Source organism: Homo sapiens, chromosome 2, assembly GCF_000001405.40.
Source record: "Homo sapiens chromosome 2, GRCh38.p14 Primary Assembly".
In the NCBI taxonomy this organism is placed as follows: Eukaryota; Metazoa; Chordata; class Mammalia; order Primates; family Hominidae; genus Homo; species Homo sapiens.
The window spans coordinates 74,722,153-74,744,761 of NC_000002.12; the positions used below are offsets into that span (position 1 = coordinate 74,722,153).

General features: G+C 41.3%; 1 long non-coding RNA gene across 3 annotated transcripts in view, besides 1 other annotated feature; it reads left to right on the plus strand.

The window, feature by feature from the left end:
* The window catches only part of LOC102724497 (uncharacterized), a 39,767-nt gene that overhangs the window by 6,854 nt on the left and 10,304 nt on the right, over positions 1 to 22,609 (plus strand). The window lies entirely within an intron of this gene.
* Positions 18,041 to 19,240: an enhancer, noted in NCBI's record as "P300/CBP strongly-dependent group 1 enhancer chr2:74967320-74968519 (GRCh37/hg19 assembly coordinates)". NCBI's record gives its function as "activates an origin of replication core promoter dependent on BRD2, BRD4, P300/CBP, MED14 and CDK7 cofactors, with strong dependence on P300/CBP, by STARR-seq in HCT116 cells {active_cell/tissue: HCT116}" and the evidence as "EXISTENCE:reporter gene assay evidence [ECO:0000049][PMID:35650434]".

The window sequence follows — 22,609 nt, forward strand, 5'->3', positions numbered from 1 at the left end:
TCTTTGCAAGGGCTGGGAGGGAAGCAACAGGAAGCTAACTCCAGATGGATAACCATGGAAGCAGGAAGGGCCCAGATAGGGTTGTGGAGTGGGAATACTTAGCGGGTCCTGTGGTATAGTTATGACACTTTTTCTAGCAAAAGTGGGCAATCCTGGAGTGAGCAGGTGGTGGGTGATCTAGAGTGAGGGTTGCCACTGGGGACACTGGCAGGTAAAAGGGCCAAGTGTCCCAAGGATGTTAGCAAGGGCAGTGCAGAGTAGCTGGTGTGGGTCCAGGCTGAGCAGGACAGTGAGGGAGGCCAGGAATGTGGTTGTGCTTGGTCCCATGTGGTTATATCAGCCACCATGACATTGACCTTCATGTATTGGGTTCTTGGAAATTCTTTGTTTAGCCAAGGAAGATAGTTATTTCAGCATAGGCCAAGCCACAAAATGATAGAATGAGAGTTTACCTTTTTTTGTAGATTGTTCCTCCTCTTGCAGCTCTAACATCTGGATGAGCCACCAGTGGGACGGTAGTGGCTCCAAAGAAATGAGTCTCCCTTCTCCTCTGGGGGTTTACCCACTGTCTGATATTCTTGGCACCAATTCCTTTCTCAGGTGGGGAGAATGTGAATTGCTTCTCCTAGAGATAACATCTTTTCTATTCAGCAAGGTCCAATCACAAGTCAGTTCTTTGATATCTCAGGTAGGTTCTGGGAGCAAACTGGCCAAGGACTCCAAAAAGCTACCCCACACTCACTCCTCCAGTAAAAAGGCATCCTATAATGTTAGAAACACATGCTTCATTCTGTAACCACTGCTTCCAGCCCTCTCAGGTGGGTGGCTTTGAGAAATCATTCCTCAAGAGAAAGTGAGGAAGAGGTAGTTGAAGGCAGGAATGTGTTTCCAAAAAGACAGTGTATTAGTTTCCTATGGCTGCCATAACAAAGTACCACAGACCTGGTGATTAGCAGTTTACTGACTTACAGTTTTGGAGGCCAGAAGACAGAGATCAAGGTGTCAACAGGACTGGTTCCTCCTGTTAGCTTTGAGGGAAGGATCTGTTCCAGGCGTCTCTCCTTGGCTTGTAGATAGATAACCATTTCTCCCTACTTTGCTTTTCATCGTCTTCCCTCTATGGCTGTCCATGCTGGTGTGTCCAAAGTTCCCCCTTCTATTAGATTAGAGTCCACCCTATGACCGCATCTAACCTAACTAATTACATCTGCAGTGACTCTATTTCCCAATAAGGTTACATTCCGAGGTACTAAGGGTTAGGAATTCAACCTATGAATTTTTGGGGGATACATAATTCAATCCATGAAAGAAGGATTGGTATAGTCTCTTCTTTCTTTTCCCTGACCACTTACCTCCTATAGACTCTCATGACCATCTTTGTGAAGTATTGAAATTTCCTCCCTTGAATCCCTGTCACATGTCCTTCAACCTCCAGTCCACCTTGCGTATGCCTGTCAAATTCATCTTTCTAGAATTTCCACTTCTATCATGCATCCTGATTACAAACCATCCATGGTTCTCCATTGCCTAAGGAAGTGGTTCCAAAACTTGCCAGTTTATTGGACTCACGTGGAAAGTTTAAAGGCATATAGGTTCCTGGGCTCTTCTCTGATATTCTGATTTAAAGTCTGGGGTAGGGTCTCTGGCACTGAAAACAAATCTCTAGACGACTTTGATTGTGGGGTTTGCTAATGTAAAAAAGAAATTCAAGTTCTCCACATTCTAATTGAAGTTTACTCTTCCACTTTATTATTCTAGAACCCTTTGCCTACCAGCCCCCAGCATGCTGTGACGATCCTGCCCCAGTATTGGACACCTGAGGAGGCGTTCCCTCTCCTATTCCTCCAACTGGCTCTTGTCCTGCTCTCATCCCACCTTTTCTTTGAAGTCTCCTGCCACTCTATCCCACTGTCACCTTGCCCTTCTTCACCTCCTGTATCTTCCTGTCTATGTTACTACCTAGGCAGAGCTCTCTAGCTTCTGAAGGTTCATGGATCATAGAATCCCAGGGCCAAGAGGGCCCTGGACATCCTATGTGTTTCAAAGGTCTTCCAAGCTCAGAGGGAGAAGTTGAGTTCCCTACGTGATACTTCAGGGCCATAGGTGGTAGAACTGGGAAGCGGTTCAGGATGTGACTCCAAACGAGAATGGCATGAGACGCTTAGGCTTCTACAGCTCCTTCCTCACTCTACGCAGCCAGGTGATTGTCTGCTCTGCCAGGGCACTGGGGCGAATGTCTTCTCTGCAGAGGCTGACTGAAGAGGCCAGGGAATTGGGGACTCAGTATGGCAGAGGGCAGAGCAGAAGCACTGTATTTGAAGAGCGGTATTAAGTAAAAGTTCACAAGCCAAGCAGGCTCCCCTCCTTACAGTTCACCGTCATCAGGAATACCTAAGACAAGAAACACAGTCACTTCTATCTGGAGAAACTGACAAGTCTAAAAGAAAATACTGACAGAAAGGACTCATCAACAAAATCGCTGGGTCCCCACCTAATCATCCTATAGCAAGGCAAGACCTGACAATCAACAAACCCTGCTCACATGCACTGAACTATCAGTCGGCCTTTTGGTTTCTCACTTTCACATATGAGTGAACAGTCATGGATCACCAGAGACCACAACAAACAAAAAACACAGGAAAAAAAGGAAAGTCCTAAAGTCCAGAGAGAAGCACAAAAAAGAAAAATTGGATACATATAAAGGAGTGAGAGGCCGAGTAACATAAGACTTTTCAATAGCAACTTGAGGAATTAAAAGCCCATGGAACAATACCTTTGATATACTGAGGAGAGTAGTTTGAATTTAGATTTTTCTTACACAGACAAACCATCCATAAAGTCTTACAGTAGACAAATTCGGACATGCAAAATGCTTATATCCTGTGCATTCGTTCTCAGAAAGATACTGGAGAATGTGAGCCTCAAAAATGATTAAACCAGGAAAGAGGAAGATTGAGATCTGGGAAATATGGGATTCAACACAGGAGAGGACATTCAGAATAATGCTGGGGAAGGGAAGTTCCAGAACAGCTGTGTAGCAGGCCTCAAGAAGAAACAATCCAGTCTGCAGTAGGAGAGGTACAGGGCTCCATGGGGAAGGAAAACAAAATAATAGATGGATCATCAGATACATATGAATATGTGGAAAACTGTATCAAGAGGCTGTTAGAGAATAGGGGAAGAAGTAATCTTAGAAACAAAGAAGCTAAACATGAAAATACAAGAGGACAGAGGACTGCACTGAAGCATCTAGTCATGAAAAAAAATGAGCTGATAGGTTCCTGATGTGTTTGACTGTATTGAGAGGAGTGTTATGTGAGAATTTGGGGAATGAAATTGAGATGAAGAAAGATAAGCAATTATTAAATCCTGGAAAAACAGAAAGTTGTGTAAGAAAGGAAATGTAATCATTGCACACCATATGACTCAGCGGCAAATAATATTCTATATTAAAAATAATGTAAAGAATAATATAAATTTAAACAAAAATGGAAATATAACTATATTGGGAAGATTAGTGCAGGAAAATTGAGTGTGTGTGTTTCAGTTATTACACTGTTTCTCAGCCATAAGCTCACCTTTTTACACTCTGCTCTGTGATGCTGGGGCTGGAACGCTGCAAACCACATTTCTTCTTTGCTGGCTGTCTTCATGTTAGGCTCTGTCAGTATGGAAATTAGAGGGATGCTGCAGAGTTGGAGGAGGAAGACAGAAAGAACATCTTCCTGTCTGCTTACTTCTCTCTCAATGTTCATTCATTCATTTATTCAACAAATATTTATTTAAAGACTGTTGTCTGGCCCAGCACTATTCTAGGTGTTTACCTTCCAGTAGGGAAAGAGAAATAATAAACAATATACATAATAAATAGATAAATAAAGTATATGGCATTATGTGGAAAAAAAGAACAAAGAATTAGAGTAAGGGACATTGGGAGTGCATGGGTGAGGTGTATTATAATTTTATCTTATTTTATTTTAACTTTTTGAGATGTAGTCTCACTGTGTTGCCCAGGCTGGAGTGCTGTGGCGTGATCTTGGCTCACTGCAACCTCTGCCTCCTGGGCTCAAATGATCCTCCCACCTCAGCCTCCTGAGTAGCTGGGACCACAGGTGCCTGGCTAATTTTTGTATTTTTAGCAGAGATAGGGTTTCGCTATGTTGGCCAGGCTAGTCTCGAATTCCTGACCTCAGATGATCTGCCCACCTGGGCCTCCAAAAGTGCTGGGATTATAGGCATGAGCCACCACAGCTGGCCTATAAGTTTATTTATTTTTATTTATTTATTTTGCAATGGAGTATTGCTCTGTCACCCAGGCTAGAGGGCAGTGGCATGATCTTGGCTCACTGCAACCTCTGCCTCCTGGGTTCAAGCGATTCTCCTGCCTCAGCCTACCGAGTAGCTAGGACTACAGGCACCTGCCACCACGCCCAGCTAATTTTTGTATTTTTTAGTAGAGTTGGGGTTTCACCATATTTACCAGGCTGGTCTTGAAATCCTGACCTCAGGCCATCTGGCCACCTCAGCCTCCCATAGTGCTGGGATTATAGGTGTGAACCATTGTGCCCAGGCTATTTTTAATTTTAATTAATTAATTATTATTATTATTTTGAGGCAAAGTCTTGCTCTGTCACCCAGGCTGGAGTGCAGTGGAGTGATCATAGCTTACTGAAGTCCTTCCTGGACTCAAGTGATCTTCCTGCACCAGCCCCCCAAGTAGCTAGCACTACAGTAGGTGTGCACCCCCGTGCCTGGCTGTTTATTTTTTTTGTAGCGATGCAGTCTTACTATGTTGCCTAAGCTGATCTTGAACCCCTGGCTTCAAGCAGTCCTCTCACCTTAGCCTCCTGAAGTATTGGAATTACAGATGTGACCCACTGTGCTGAGCCTTATTATTTTTATTGACACAAAATATAGCTACATATTTTCTGTGTACATGCAATAATTTATCCCATTCATATAATTTGTAAAGATCAAATCAGTGTAATTGGGATATCCATCACCTTAAATATCTGTTCTTTATGCTTTTCTTTCTGATCACTTTGGTTAGTATGAACATTTTAACAATGTTTATGCTAGAAACAGTTATTCTCTTATCACTATTTTGAAATAGACCATAGATTATTGTACACTATAGCCACTCTACTAATTTATCACACACTAGGTCTTATTTCTTCTATCAAACTGCATATTTTTACCCATTAATCAACCTCTTTTTATCCCTCTCACCCCCTAGCCTTCCTGGCCTCTGGTAACAACCAATCTATTCCCTGTCTTCATTAGATCCACTTTTTCAGTTCCCACATATGAGTGAGAACATATGATGTTTGTTGATTGATTGTTTCCTTTTCTGTGCAGAAGCTTTTTAGCTTGATGTAACCAATTTGTCTATTTTTGCTTTGCTTGCCTGTGCTTTTGGGGTCTTTGCTCAGAAAGCAAAAAAATCTTTGCTCAGACAAATGTCCTTGAGGATTTCCTCAATGTTTTCTTCTAGTAGTTTCATAGTTTCAGATCTTAGATTTAAATTTTTAATCTATTTTGAATTTATTTTTGTATGTGGTAAGAAATAAAGGTCTAGTTTCATTCTTCTGCATTTGGTTATCTAGTTTACCAAGCACCATTTATTGATGACACTTTTCTTTCCCCATTGTATGTTCTTGGCACCTTTGTTGAAAATGAGTTGTTTGCAAATGTGGGGATTTATATTTGGGTTCTCTATTCCGTTCTATTAGTCTATGCATCTGTTTGTATGTCAGTACCATTGCTTTGCAGTATATTTTAAAGTCAGGTAGTGTGATGGCTTCAGGTTTGTTCTTTTTGCTCAAGATTGTTTTGGCTATTTGAAGTATTTTGTGGTTTCATACAAATTTTAGTATTTTTTTTTTTATTTCTCTGAAGAATGTCTTTGGTCTTTGATAGAACCTGCACTAAATCTGTGGATCCCTTTGGATAGCATGGACATTTTTACAATATTAATTCTTCCAATTCATGAACATGAGCTATCTTCCCATTTATTAGTGTCCCTCTCGATTTTTTTCATTAATATTTTATAGTTTTAGAGATTTTTCATATCCTTGGTTAAACTTATTGCTAGGTTTTTTTTTGTAGCTATTGTAAATGGGATTGCTTTTTTTATTTCTTTCTCAGATAGTTCACAGTGGCATATAGAAACTCTACTGATTTTTGTATGTTGATTTTGTGTCCTGCAACTTTACTGAATCTGTTTTTAGTTCTAACAGTTTTTCAGTAGAGTCTAGGTTTTTCTAAGATCATGTTTTCTGTGAATAAGACTAGTCTGACTTTTTCCTTTCCATTTGGAATGTCCTTTTTTTCTTTATCTTGACTAATTACTCTGGCCAGGACTTCTAGTATTATGTTGAAAAAAATGTTGAAAGTGGGCATCCTTGTCTTGTTCCAGACCTTAGAGGAAAGGTTTTCAATGTTTCCCTGTTCAGTTTGCTGTTAGTTGTGGGTTTGTCATATGTAGCCTTTGTTATTTTGCAGTATGTTTCTTCTATATCCAATTTGTTGAGGGTTTTTATTAGAAAAATATGTTGAATTTTGTTGAATACTTTTTCATCATCTATTGAAATGATCAGGTGGTTTTTGTTCTTGGTTCTGTTAATGTGATGTATCACATTATTGATTTGCGTATGTTGAACTATTCTTGTATCCTGGGAAGAATCCCACTTGATCATGGTGAATCTTTTTAAATATGTTGTTGAATTTGGTTTGGTTAAGGATTTTTGCATCTGTGTTCATCAGGGATATTGGCCTGCAGTTTTCTTTTTTTGTGTGTGTGTGTCCTTTATTTCTCTTTCATATTGGAAGGATAGCTTTGCAGGTTACAACTATTCTTGGTAAGCAGTTTTTGTTGTTGTTGTTGTTGTTGTTGTTGTTGTTGTTTCTTTCAGCCCTTCGAAAATGTCATCTCACTCCCTGATGGCCTGTATGGTTTCTGTTGAGAAGTCTGTTGCCAGAAGAATTGGAGCTCCTGTATATGTTATTTGATTCTTTTCTCTTGCTGCTTTTAGGGATCTCTCTTTGTCCTTGACCTTTGAGAGTTCGATTATTATATGCCTTGGGGTAGTTTATTTGGGTTATACCTGTTTGGTGTTCTCTGATCTTCCTGTATCTGGATATTTATCTTTTCCTCAAGTTTTGGAAAGTTTTCTATTATTATTTCTTTGAGTAAGTTTTCTATTCCTTGCTCTTGCTCAATTCCCTCTTGAACACTAGTAATCCTTAGATTTGGTCTTTTGAGCCAGGCACGGTGGCTCATGCCTGTAATCCCAGCACTTTGGGAGGCCGAGGGAGGTGGATCATGAGGTCAGGAGTTCAAAATCAGCTTGAACAACATGGTGAAACCCCGTCTCTACTAAATATGCAAAAATTAGCTGGGCAAGGTGGCGCATGCCTGTAATCCCAGCTACTCAGGAGGCTGAGGCAGGAGAATCACTTAAACCCAGGAGGGGGAGGTTGCAGTGCAGTGAGCCGAGATTGTACCACTGCACTCCAGCCTGGGCGACAGAGTGAGACTCCATCTCAAAAAAAAAAAAAAAAAAAAAAAGAGATTTGGTCTTTTGAGGTAGTTTTGTATATTTTGTAGGTGACCTGTATTTCTTTTCATTCTTTTTTTTCTCCTCATTTCTCCTCTGTGTATTTTCAAATAGCCTGTCTTTGAGCTCATTGATTCTTACTTCTGCTTAATCCATTCTGCTGTTGAGAGCCTCTAATGAATTTTTCAGTTCAGTAAACGTATTTCTGTTTCAAGATTTGTGATTTTTTATACTTTATTTTATTTTATTTTTAAATTTTGAGACAGAGTCTCACTCTGTTGCCCAGGCTGTAGTGCAGCAGTGCAATCTTGGCTCATTGCAATCTCCGCCTTCTAGGTTCAAGCAATTCTCATGCCTTAGCCAACTGAATAACTGGGATTACAGGCATGCGTCACCATGCCCAGCTAATTTTTGTATTTTTAGTAGAGATGGGGTTTCACCATGTTGGCCAGGCTGGTCTCAAACTCCTGGCTTCAAGTGATCCTTCTGCCTCGGCCTCCCAAACTGCTGGGATTACAGGTGTGAGCCACTGCACCCAGCCGCAAGATTTGTGTTTTAAAAAACTGCTTCAATATCTTTGTTAAATTTCTCTGACAAATTTTGGAATTGCTTTTCCATGTTATCTTGGAAATTACTGAGTTTCCTTAAAACTGCCATTTTGAATTCTTGGTCAGAGAGTTTATATATCACCATCTTGTTAGGGTCAGTTACTGGTTCCTTGCTTTGTTCATTTGAGGCAGTCATAGCACTCTACTGGCTGCCGTTTCTTGTGGATGTATGTCTATGTTTTTGCATTGAAGGATTAGTTATTCCAGTCTTCTTTGTCTGGCTTGTTTTGGTTTTTATTGGGTATGTTTGCTTAGAGATTCTTTGTAATTTATCAGTTGATTTTCTTTCTTATGTTCCACTGCTAGGTTGCTGCCTCCTTTTTGGCACTAAATGGTGCCTTAAGCCCGGGTTTGCCCTGGTTCTATTAAACAACCAGAGTACCACCAGTACTGAATGGGGTAGGTCTCAAGGGGGAATATCCTGGTAATATCGAAAGGCTGGTTAAGAGTTTATGCCCAAGGATATGTGGAACAAACCTACAGTGTGGTGCTGCTCTAATTTGGTGTCTTCTTTGGCTGAGAGCAGTTTTCACAGCTGGAGATGGTAGTCCTGCCTCCTCAGTTTCCTTAGGGTGATTTCTCCTTTCAAGCACTCCCAGTGCATCCTGTGGTTTGAGGCAGGGACAGGTCTCCTGACAGAGAACCAAGAGGGTGGGCAAGCTGGTTGTCCACCCCAACTCACTTTTTCCAGTGTAGAAACCATGCGTCAGGGGAAATTTTCTATGCATTTTGTGCTAGGCAGACTGGGGAAAGGGGTGTCACAGATATGGAAGTCCAAGTCTCTTACCATCTGCTTGGAGTTTTTTTCGCTTCTCTGAGGCCAGGAGAACTTTCTCATCTTCATATTTGAGTTATAATTTATTGCTAGTGATAATCTCAGCACTGTATATTTGATCTTGGTTTTCTTTGGGGTGAGTGAAGCCAGCTTGTTTCTACACCAGCTTGTTTCTACACTCGTTTCTGGTTCTGCCATTTCAGAACCAGAAGTCTCCACAATTTTAAATAGAGTGGTCTGTCTGGGTAGACTTTATTGGGAAGAAGACATGACAAAGAGAAAACTTGAGCAAAGATTTGGCCTTAAATGTGAATAGGCTTGGCATACTTGAGGAATGTTCAGAGAACAGTGTGGCTGGACCGAGGGAGAGAGGGTGAAAAAAGTGAGAAAGTTGAAATTGTTTGCTGTTGGAAGGAGAAAATTAGAAGCAAGGAGGGTTTGGGCAGAAGATTGCCTTTCATAAGTCATGTATGATCATTTCCTTTTTCAATTGTGGACATGTTAACTTTTGTAAAAATAGAGCTTAAACTTAAAAATTATAAATCACAAAATGCAATGTGATTTCCTGAATTGGAACAGAAAAAGAATGTTAGTGGAAAAACTGGTGAAATCTGAATAAAGGCTAGTTAATCATAATGTACCCTTTTTTTTTTTTTTTTTTTTTAGTTTTAGCAAGTGTACCATGTAATATAAGATGGTAACATTAGGGGAAACTAGGTGAGGGGTATATGATAATTCTCTGTATTATCTTTGCAACTTTTCTGTAATTTTTCTAAAATTATTCCAAAATAAGTTTATTTTTAAAAAGCCTTTAAAACAAACAAAAAATTGAATCAGCTGATAAAATGCTGCCTTTTCCCTTTCCCCAATTCCAAGCCTTGTACTCTTACCTGGGTTTTAGCAGTTGGTCATTATTAGGTAGGAAGATGTGATTTACCTATGGACCCGGGCTGATCTCCAGATGGAAGGAAAAAGGCCAGCAGGGAAGGCTCTGTATATCATATCTGTGGAGCATCCAGCTCACAGCTTCTTGGTGGGTGACATTCAGAAGCTGAGAAGCAGAAACCAAAACAGAGGCATTTATGCAGGGGAAAAACAAAACCAAAAACAAAACATTAATGTGTAATTCCCATAAGTTCTTAAGAAAGCAGAGTAACAAATATATCTTTGCAGGACTTTATTTCTTAATCTCTGTCTCTAGAACTCTGTAGTTATTTCTAATAATGAGTAGTTTCAAAGTAGAAATAATCCCAGATCCTTGATCGAATAGCTTTTTTCCTCTCTGCAGAGCTTCCTAAATATTTTTGGTGGGGGTGCCTGTTCAGGTGCTTCTGCAGTTGATGCTGAAATATTTCCTTATGTCAGTGCTTTCCATGTATAATTTTACATGCTTCAATGTATGAATTACTAGAAATGTGCCTTAAAAAGTTTTATATAATTATTTAGTATGGAGCTAGCAAAAAAAAAAAAAAAAAAAAAAAAAGGTGGCGGGGCGGGGAGAAGAAAAAAAAATAATGAAGAAAAAGCTTAATTTTTGGTAACTATTGCCTCCTACTCCCTCCCTGGCAAGTCTTTTTTTGAGTTTTGAGGAAATCCTTTTCTGCTCATGCTTTTTCCACATATTCTACCTTCATCCTCAATTCTTCTCCCTTCTCTATTGTTTAAGTTCTTGGGATTAAAATCCAGGAAGGAAAGTATTTTGCATATTATTTTTATATTTTGCCCCATGACATACCTCCTCTGAGATGGAGTAGGCTACTCCTTAAACTGGGGTGAAAGAAGAAGGGAAAAAGAAAATGAGAGAAAGAGAGAGAGAGAAAAAAAGGACATTTCAGCATATTATCCAGCCACATTCAGTCCACTTTTCTTGCATCTAGGAGTCTGCCCGATGTATTTTCTGGGATTGTTAGCAGTTAGGGGATGAACAGTGAGCACTCTGGAGTTTGTTTTGATTTTATTTGTGTTCTTCACGCCTTTTAAAAAATCACATAAGAAATAAATTTATTGCAGAAAACAAAAAAAAGTGATAGAAAAAATGTTAAAATAAATTGAAAATCACCTTTAATCTCAGAAATACAGAAACACTTATCCTCGTCCAAAATATCACCAACCACTCAGTGCCAGAAACCAACACACGTAGAGAAATAGAAACAAGGGGTGAAGCCCTGAGCGTGTGACCCTGCGGCTGCAGAAGCTTCTGAGACCCAGCTGCCTGTTCTTCTTTTGGCTTTGTGGTTTCGTGTTTTGCCCATCACATTAATTTTCTGTATTGAATGACACTCTTTTGGTTGTGGCAGAAACCCAAGTTGAATTTATTTATAAAAAAATAAATAGAAGGCTGGGCGTGGTGGCTCACGCCTGTAATCCCAGCACTTTGGGAGGCTGAGGCGGGTGGATCATGAGGTCAGGAGATTGAAACCATCCTGTCGAACACGGTGAAACCCCGTCTCTACTAAAAAATACAAAAAATTCGCCGGGCATGTTGGCGGATGCCTGTACTCCCAGCTACTTGGGAGGCTGAGGCAGGAGAATGGCATGAACCTGGGAGGGGGAGCTTGCAGTGAGCTGAGATCACGCCACTGCACTCCAACCTGGGCGACAGAGCGAGACTCCATCTAAAAAATAAAAATAAAATAAAATAAAATAAAATAAAATAAAATAAAATAAAATAAAATAAAATAAAATAAATAAATAGAAACAGGATGCCTGCTCAGATTGCATAAGTTTGAATACCAACTCCATGTGGTCTTTGGCATATTACTTAACCTCTAAAAGCCTCTGTTTTCTCATCTGGGAAAGGGTACCCATGTTCTCTGGAGATTGTTATGGGAATTGAATAAGATAAGAAATGGGCCTAGCACATGTTAATCACTTAATACATGGTGCTAGTCTAGCAGTAATTGAATAGTATGTGGTCACCCGAGTGGAGGAAGTTGTGTTGTTAGCATGTTATTCCTAGAGGAAGTTGGAAGGCAGGTAACAGAGGGAGTGAGGCAGGCCTTTTCTTTCTCACATGTGCACGCCCGTGAACTCCACCATGACCTGCTGTAAGAATTGCTGGTGTAGACAGCCATGCTGCTAATATCCTCCTCCACCATGAATACCCCCAGGGAGCACAAGAGGCCCTGACTGACTATCTCTTGACTAATGGTCAGGCCACGGTAGCCAGAGTCCAGGAAAATCTCAAACTTCATCAGTAATGAGGGGAGATTTTGCCACAGGTTATCTGAGGGAGCCAAGAGCTCTGCAGTTTGAGATAGTGGTTTCAGATCTGTGGAGTCACAAAAAGTCATGTAAGATACCTCTGAGAATTTAGGTTTGTTCATTCTACTGAGGGTAGAACTGCACATTGTATTTATGTCCTGAGCCCATCTTTTTGTCTTTTTTTTTTTCCAAATCAAATCAACTTTGAGGGGGATATTTAGCATCTAGTTAAAACAGCTTATGAAAAACCAGCCAAAGTCTGGTAAAAAAAACCTCTTTGGAAATGACGACCATAATCTCTGGTTTGTAGATCTTTACTGCTCTTACTAAATGTTCAAAGAGTTTTCTGGGTTTTTTGTTTGTTTGTTTGTTTTTTAGAGATTAGTATGCACACATGAATTAGGAAGTATTCCTAAAATCAGGAAGCAGGAAGAAAGCAGGATTGAGCAGAGGGAGAACTTGGCTATGATGTTGTTACAACGCCCTCAATGGATCCTATAGAGAGTGATGAAGCTAGACGTGACTTTCAGAGTTGTGCAGAGCTGGGGTGAGAAGGCCAGGCCTCAACCCCTCCCACCCCAACCCCCACACTACCTAACTGGATGGACATTAGATGTGATGTTCAAAGGATCTTAATGGAATAGTTGTTGAAACAGATCTGAGATGCAGTAAATTTTGGTCTGCAGAATCAAGTCAGCATTACCTCAATCAGAATTTGTGATGAACATATACAAATACATCTGGCTTGAGACAGCCTAGTTTGAAAATATACACAGGCTCAGAAGGGACACGCTGTTTCTCACCAAGTCCTAGGTTAGGCAATGCCACTGTAAGGTGATTGCTCCTCCTAGGCACCAGGCCTGTAGCCCAGGTAAAGCTGCCACTTGTGTGAATAGTGGAGGCTGGCTTTTGGACTTATGATCCAAGCAGACAGGTTTTTCCTAAGTATGGTTAACTGAGTCATAAACTATCACATCCTGTATAACCCATTTGTGTTTTTTTCTGACTAAAATAAAACTCTCCATTAAAACTGAACAGCAATTAAACGATTTCTAATCTCCACTTTACACACAAGGCAACCTGCAATTTATAATAAGATTTGAAGACACAGAAACATCTCTTAGTTTCCCACCTCCCCACCGCCCCCGCCACTGATCTGCTTCAATAGCTGGAAATCTTTGTTTAATCTGACTCCAGGTCTTTCTTTGTGTTTGAGAAAACATTCAGACTGCATCTTCTGTGGCTTCTCTATGTCCCAGCTGCAACTTCAAGAACCCTGATCAGTGCGATCAAAGTTGTAATTTAAAGCTTTTGGGAAGCCCAGGCTTTCTCTGTATTAGACAGTTATCAGTCCTCATTATCAAACCACTCATCCCCTTTGTTGCTCTATATAATAGAAAAAGCAGCTTCCTGCTCCCAGTGACTTGGCAAAAAATTGAATAAGAGAGAGAGATTATGGCCATGGCAGGTGTGCACAGCAGGGTCCTTCCCAAACCCCCTCTCCTCCGAGCCTTCTCTAATCAGAAGGAGTCATTGGTTTCCCTTTTCAAAGGAGCCTGTCTACTTGGCCTCATCCCAGGGTCGAGAGTAGCTCAATGATTAAATTCAGTGACAGAATGTAGCAGCTCTTCCTGCTGGAACCTTTCCAGACTACTTCCACCACAGCCATTAATTTCTTGAAATTAATTTTTCCTTTTATCTAAGCAGTACACACATATCTTTAAAAGTTAATGACAGAAGTCTCCTATGAAAAAACAGCAGTCTCCTGCCCCATCCACTCCTTTATTCTTATTAAGTTTTTTTCTTTGCCGTTTATCTCTATTTTTATTCTATTTGATATGTGCGTATCATTGGTTTGAGGCATCAATTTTAAACTTTATCTTTTGGCTTTCTCATGAACTACAAGAGATATAACTTTCTTTCTGTTCTGATTTCAGATTTATATTTTTTATATATTATTTCATTATATTATTTTATATTATAAAATGTTATATTATTATGACTATGTAAATATTGTTTATTGCAGAGCAAAGGAGTATATTATAATGTTTTATTTTTATACATTTTTGGATATTCCTAGGGTTAATAATTGCCTTTCCATCCATTTGCTTAAATTACTTGTTTCCTTTGGGTAGTATCTGAACATGATTATTCCCATTGTTAAATAACTTACCAGATAACTTTCCTGACTCCATCCTCTTGCTTCAGGCTGACTTGTTGCTCTTGGAAACAGCTGTGCAGCATGGCTCTAGGCCTTCCCTTCATCAACCTGGAAATCCCTTTTGACTCTTATTTGTGTTTGATCTCATTTCCTGGATCCTAAGTCTTTCTTTTTTTTTGATTTATTGACCCTCTCATTTTCATGGAACATGTTCTTAAATAACTATTCCTGAGAAAGAGTCCGTGGAAGCAAAGTTTTCTGAGATCTTTCAAGCCTGTATTTTTCCTTTGTCCTCATGCCTGACTGATAATTTGGCTGGGTATAGAATTTTAGACTGAAAATAATTTTTTTCCTTTCAGAACCTGGAAAGCAGTGCTTTATGTTTTCTAGCTTTTTCTGTTACGGTTAAGAAGTGGCCATTCTTATTCTTAGTTATTTGGATGTAATTTTTTTTCTCTTTAGAAACTTCTGTTCCTCCTTGGTGTTCTAAAATATGATCATGGCAGAAGTTATATTCTTTTTCTGGTACCTGATGGGCTCTTTTAATCTTTTTGTTTGAAGCATTTTTAAAAATTATTATTTGTTTGATAAATTTCTTCTCTCTCAAGTTTTTGTTTGCTCTTTCTAGAATTCTTATTACTTGAATATTGGACTCCCTGAATTGATCCTCTAATTTTCTGGCTCATTTTCTTTCCCTATTGTTTACCTCCTAGTTATTTTGTTTTGTTTTTGGGGAGACTCCCTTGAATTTACCTTCCACCCTCCCTATTGACTTTTTTTTTGACTGTGGCTATCATATTTAATTTCCAACTTCTCTGATAGGTTTCCTGTTTCTCCTCCTCCTCCTTCTATAGCATCCTCTTCTTGCTATTATCTCTCCAAAGAATACATACAGTTTTTCCTCTAAAGTTGTTTTTCTTCTTGTTCTTTTCTTCAAGTCCCTTTTCTCTGTCTGTTCTGGCCTTTGTTTTTCACCTTGGGGGTCTTTTTCAGATGTCTATGGATCCTTAACCATTCATTAATATTTGAGTCAATCACTAAGAATCTGATGTGGGCTCTATGGGCAGGGGTAGGGCTTGCTTCTGGTGATCTCCTTTGTAGGACCGTGGTTCTCAGTAGGGGCAGCTCCTGGGCAGTTTGGAAAGTTGTGAGGATTTTTAGTTATCACAGTTATTGGGGGGCCTACTAACATTTAATATGTGGGGGACAAGAATGCTAGTTGGATTGCAGGACAGTTCCACAAAACAAAGATTGTCCTGTATCTAGGGCTGCCACCTAAAATAAAGGACACTCAGTTAAAATCGAATTTTGGATAAACAACAAATACATTTTTTTGTATTAGTATGTCTCAAATATTATATGTTTATGGGCCAAATCTGGCAACCCTGTCTGTGTCCTATTCTATGTCCTACTGCACAGTTATGTGGGTGAAAAGCTCTTTATAATGATTTGATTCTTGATATCAGCTCTGCTTTATATATAAATACAAATACTTTTTTCACATGGATTTAACATACCCTGTGATTTTTTAAAATGCAGCTACTATGTAAATTGAGAGGAGACTGGACTTTGTTTTGTTTAGAACTTAACCAAGGGTTGTCACCATTTAGAAAAACATGTCAATGGCAACAGCACTGCTCATGATCAAATATGCAGATAATTTTTACAATTGCAAAAATTAGGTTTGCAATTGTCCCTCTTACCCAGAGGGGTTCCAATGCACTAACTTAGATCTTATTTCAAGATGGCAAATATAAGAAATATGACAAAATAAAATGAACAATGGTATCAACAATATTCAGTTGAATATGGTCTAACTTCTTTTAAGGTTGGACTGTTCATTGTAAAAAATGAAAGCATCTAACTGTTTCATTATGTCTCCCAGGTATGCTGCCCATGTGCCTACTTAGTAAACCATCTTGGGCCGTGAACTACTTTCCTTTTTTTTCTCCTTCGTAAGGACATTATAATTTAAAGAAAATAATGTGTAGGTTGATTATTTTAACTATGAATTTAATTTCACATAGTAAAAGAGGTATTTCAATATTTTTGCTTTAAAAAGAAAGTTGAAGGTACCTGCAACATGGTCAAATCTCAAAATATAATTATGCTGACTGAAAGAAGCCAGACAAAAAGAGGACATATTGGCCGGGCCTGGTGGCTCATGCCTGTAATTCCGGCACTTTGGGAGGGTGAGGCAGGCAGATCAGCTGACCTGATGATCGAGCCTGACCTCCTGGCTTGAGGTCAGGAGTTCAAGACCAGCCTAGCCAACAGGGCAAAACTATGTCTCTTCTAAAAATACAAAAATTAGCCGGGTGTGGTGGTGGGTGCCTGTAATTCCAGTTACTTGGAAGGCTGAGCCAGCAGAATTGCTTGAACGTGGGAGGTGAGGGCTGCAGTGGAGCAGAGATTATGCCACTGCACTGCAGCCTGGGTGACAGTGGGAGACTCCATCTCAAATGTCATATAATTCAATTTTTATAAAATTCTCGAAAATGTAAGCTAACCCTATAGTGACCAAAAGATCAGTGATTGCCTGGGAATGGAAACTGGGACAGAGAATGGCAATGAATGGCACAAGGAAACTTCTGGGGAATGGCTGTGTTTTTAAATCTTGATTTTGGTGATCATTTCATGAGTGCATGCATATGTCAAAAATTTCCAAATTGCACATCTTAATCATGAGCACTTTACTGAATATCAATTATACCTCAATAAAGCTGTTAAAAAACAACAACAAAAAAGAAGGTGTTGAGTCTGATAGGGTTGAGGCCAACTGCTACAGTACATTTGTGCAATGACAGGATTTTTGCACTGAGACACTTCCAAATGTCAGTATCTGTAGGATCTGTATGGCTTTCTTCCAGTATGATTCAATTTTCCAGATTAAGATTCTCTAGTCTCTTTGCTGGAGGATATGAACCTGATTGCCAGCATTCTTGGAAATAAGCAGGGGAAGGGTGAGGGGGTCTAACCATTCAGTGTGCAGGCTTTTACTTTCTTCTCTATTTTCAAGCCATCCCCTCACCCTCCCTTCCCCTCTTCCTGCTGTCCCCAGTCCAGTGCTTCTCTCACTACTGTTAATATTTATAGCTTCCCTTCCCCTAGAATACAGGCTTTAAACATGTTTCAATAGGACAATTATAAAAATAAAAGATTTGTTTGCAATCATTTATCTAGATGAACCCTTGGATGACAGAATCATTTGGTTATTAAGTGAAACCAGGACAGACATTTGGGGAAGGGGATGGCATTTTAACCTTTTGTGGAGCCATTCCCCATCAGACAATCCTTTGCTGCCACTGCCAGAGATAACACCAGGTAGGATGTGGCAATCCAGATCTTTTCATCTGGATGTCAGCAACAGCAAGGCAGGGGCCTGGACAGGATTCAGGTCACACAGTGTCTAGCTGGCTGGTGGAGCTTTGAGGTCTTTATAGAGAAGCTCTGCACTGAGATTATCATGAAGCCTGTGAGTGTTGGGGGTCAGCCTGAAGGCAGCATTCTCTGAGTGCTTCCAGCGGGAACTCCCTGTCGTTCGTGAAGGCAGCCGTGCTTCTAACACTGGAGTAGCAGCTACCACTTGTGAGCACTTACTGCATGCCAGGCACTGTGACAGGCACCTCTGACAAATTATTTCAATGATTTCACAACAGCACTACTGTTTTTATCCCCATTTCACAGATGAGGTGACTGAGACTCAAATAGATGCTCAAAGTCACTGAGCTAGGAAGTGTCAGACACAACCACATCCATGTGGACAGACTCCAGAGCTGGAGATTCGACCTGAATCCAAATACTGTTCTCCCCAGAACTCCAGTTGTGAGACTTTTAAGTGGAGCTTGGAGATTAAGGAACAACCCTTTTGGGGTCATTCTTGCTAGGGCTGTATGAAGACAGCAGGTGCACGCAGGCTACTGTGAAGTGCGGAACCACTTGGCTGGCAGCCTGGAATATAGAGGGGCAATCTTCTCAATGGGTTGTCAGGGCTACCACATTTTGGACTTGCTGCCAGGAGACCCAGGTTCAAGTCCCCACTCTGCTGCTATCTCACATTGTGACCTTGAGTGGTCACTAATCTCTCACTAGATACTGGGCCTCGGTAGCCTCGTCTGTTAAAGGGGATGACTCAACTTGGGTAAGTCTAAAGTTTTCTCAGCTTTAAAACGCAGGGATTCCATGTGTCACCTCTCCCAGGAATATTTGTATCTGTGGAATGAAAGACCTTTTGCTGCTGTCTCAGAGAAGTATTTATGCAGGTCAGGGGTCCTTTCCCAATGCGTTGGACTCATCCATCTGGAGGAGCTCTTCTACCGAAGGGCACTACCTTCTCACCAGGCTGTGGCAGCAGAGGGGTTAAACAGCATGCCCTGCCCTGCTCCAGGCAGAAGGGTTGTAGGACTTAATCACGTTTCAGCTTGGCTGTCGGGCTGTGAGTCACGGTTGCACTGCGATTATGTAAGCACGCAGGAATAGGTGGCATGACATATATGCTGCCAGCAGCCACGGGCCTCGCCCTTCCGAGTCACCACTACTTTTTAAGCCTTTTTTTGGATACAAGTTTCTTTGGGTTCATCTTTGGAATGGAAATGGAAGCATGATTGCAGAATAGGCAGAACAGGAATTATCCATCAATCAGAGAGAACCCAGCCCTTTAAGAGAAGCTGGAATTAGAATATGGAATTCCTGAGCCTTGAGCTGGCATAGCCGAGCCCTGGTTTATGCTCTTCCTGCCTCCCTCCTTTTTTCCCTCCTGCCTGTGTGCTCCACTTCCTCTCCTGAGACTCCCCCAAGGTAGCATCACTCCCACCAGGAGCCTCAGGCAGGAAAAATAAGGCCCAGAGAAGGGACTGTCCCTGGGGACGTGCACTGAGTGTGTGTGAGGGTGCGGGGCAGGAATAGGAGTGCCAGGAGTCTACCTCTGGAGCAATGCCTCCCACAGTATTTCTGTAGGGGAAAGGATAGAAACTCACTTCTTGGGTTCCTCCAATCACCATGCACATGTCAGTCCTTCAGCTATAAATGCAAAGGAAAGCCAGAACTGAGATTTGAGCTTTCTCACCATCTCCATGGTCAGATATCTCCACTGCCAAAGGGTTCATTCCGCCTCTGGGTTTATCTCTTTCTTCATGCTTCTTCCTGGCAGTGTCCTGTTGAAGCTTACCTTCCCATCTGTGTTTGCATCCACTCCCTAAAAACCACAAGACAAAACAAGAAAATAAAAGCCTCCTCCCCTCACTTAATCCACGGTTCTTTTTTCTTCCTGCTTACAAATTTCTTGAACTTGTATGTCTGTCCTTGCTGCTTCCACTTCTTCATCTCTCATTTGTGTCTGATGCAATAGGGCAATGAAGTGTCCTTGTGGTCCCTGGTGACCTTCTCATCGCTCAATCCCAAGGCCTTTTTTTAGTCTTCATCCAATTTAACCTCTTGGCAACATGTGACATGCTGCCAGCCAGCTGCTCCCTCTTTCTAATGCTCTCTCCTCTTGGCTTCTGTGACCCATCTCTTTACTACTCTGTCTGTTTCTCCAATGCCCTCTTCCTGGTCTCTCTTGACATCTTCTCTTCCCTGATCTGCATGCCACCTATATGGTGTACGTCCTCATGTATTTATAAGTAAGTAGGTGTTTATTTCTTGTCTCCTTCCCAAGAGGATTTAAATAGGTGGCACAAATATACACTACACTAGGGTAATAAAATAGGGAGTAAGATGCAACTGGTGGAGAATTAAGATCAAATTGGCCGGGCGCGGTGGCTCACAGCTTTAATCCCAGCACTTTGGGAGGCTTAGGCGGGAGGATCACTTGAGGTCAGGTTTGGCCAACATGGCAAAACCCCGTCTCTACTAAAAATACAAAAATTATCTGGGTGTGGTGGCGCATGCCTGTAGTCCTAGCTTCTCAGGAGGCTGAGGCAGGAGAATCGCTTGAACCTGGGAAGCAGAGGTTGCAGTGACCTGAGGTCACACTACTGCACTCCAGCCTGGATGACACAGTGAGACTCCATCTCAAAAAAAAAAAAAAAAGAGTAAGTTGTAGCCATAATAAATGAAGAAGATAAAACATTATTCCAAAAGACACTATAAAATCATTAGTCCACCCAACCAATCTGATCCTGTGACTCTCCTACCAAAAAGATTCCAATGATGCATGATTGTCCAACTCCCTATATAGCCTTTCACAGTCTAATCCCAGTGGGCTTTTCCAGGTCATTTCCTGTTTTTGAGCTTTGCTACAAGCTGATCCCTCTTCTTAAAGTGCCCCCCTGTCCACTTTCCTCTTCTTGGTGCTGCCTACTTGACAAATAGCTACTTGGTTTTTAAGACAGCTTCAACGTCACCACTTCTGTGAAGATTTCCCCTGCAAAATGTATCACTCCTTTATGGTAGCAAATAACTAAACTTCTGTAAACCTCAGTTTCTGCATCTGGGCAATGGGAATTATAATAGAACCCTAATTCATTGTGAGGATTAAATTAGACACACATGCAAAGTGCTTAATATAGCACCTGGGATGTTGCAAGCATTTACTAAATGTCAGCTAGTATTATACCTCCTTGTAAATGGAGGGAACAATAGTCCATAAGACTAAGATATGTTCCCAAGTTAATTAGGATCCAATGGTACAGTTAGCCTAGGGCGCAGGCTACTCTGTCCCTGCCATATATTCTCTCAAAAGTTCTTCTTCCTCAGTTCCTGGCTGTCCCCTTCTGGAAAATCCTTTCTAATTCCAAAGTTGATCCCCTCAAGTATAAACACTACTAGCTTGTTTAACTTTATTGGCACACATGTGAGCACAGGTGCGGTTCTTGACCGGCTTCAGCTCTAATCCTGTTGCCTCGGTCTTGCTGAGATCATTGTCTCTCTAACTCACTACTAAAAGTCTGGTCTCAACCTGTACCAGGATTGCCAAATAGATTCAGAAGTCAAGGAGAAGGCATCCCATGCCCGTAGCCAGCTGAGTAGAGGGGCTGCCAGCCCCAGCCAAGGCGTTTGCTGACCCTCAGCTCCAGGAAGGCCTGGGTGACCTTAAGTCTGGCACACGGGGCAATGAACTGTGGTAGCTGCCAGGGGTGGGTTCCTGAGGGCCACCTTCTCAGCAGCCTTCTGCCTACCCCACCTGGCAGGACATGGATGTGCGTGCAGGCCTGTGTATGTCTCTCTGTGTGCAACTCTCCTCTTTGGTGGATTCAGGGTCCTTGTGTCATTTTTCAAGGTGTCAGTCAAGAAGCATCCTTAGACTGGAGTCAGAGCCTCATGTCTTCAACCAGTAGCTGGGGAAAGCTCATAATAATTATACCAATACTAAGGCATGGCTGGTATTATCCAAAATGAGAAAAGAAGAGAGTAGGCTGAAGAGGCCAAATAGCTCCCACAAAGTCACACAGCTTGTTAGTGGTGCAGACGACAGCCCAGCTCTCCTGACCCTGGGCGTGGGTTTTTGCGTTCATGTCTCATGCCCCTGTCAGGAAAGAAAAACACACGAGGGTCCTTGGATGACCATATATGGCACCCTACAAATGAAAGCTACTGTGTTATTATCTTGCACTCGCAGTAAGTGCCTCATAAGAACATGCTTGGGATGACATACATGGATCTGCCTCAAGGAGGGAAATCTCAGACCCTGGAAAGCAGGCATTGCACATGAAAATGAAGAATGGGCTGAGTGAGCACATGGCAGCGCCGTGTTGGGTTCCAGCTCTGAGATCTCATGCAGGACTCTCTCAGCTTCTCTAGCTGTAACACGAGAGTTTGGCAGAGATCACATTAAAGTTCCCCTTAATAAGGGGTTTTCATGTGGTGTCAAATTGTTCCTCTGAAATAAGTATTAAAAAAAATTATAGTGAGCACATGGCATCTTGACTTTGTGTGGAGCTGACAAAACACTTCCCATTGTATGTTCACATGCCAAAGCATGTTTCATTTTATCTTATTTTATGTAGCACATTCTTTTTCATCCTCCATGGTAACTGAGTACTTGATTGTCCGTGGCATTTTCCCTCTGAAGTACTCCAGGTAGAACACCCATCATGTTCATGGCTGACATTTTACCACCCAAGGACCTCGAGGAGAGGACCAAGTGGGGTGGTCTCCATCATGGGACAGATAAGGACAAACCTGGAGAGAAGTGTGTGAGGCCGCAGGCACTAAAAGCTCCAGGGGTGGCAGTCAGAGAGGGCCACTGGGAGAGGTGGCACAAACTGGCTGCATGCACCTGCGTCTGGTCTGGCCCACACAGTGTTTAGAAGAAATTGAGTTGCTAAAGTTGGAAATCAGGATATTTCACATTAAAAATCAG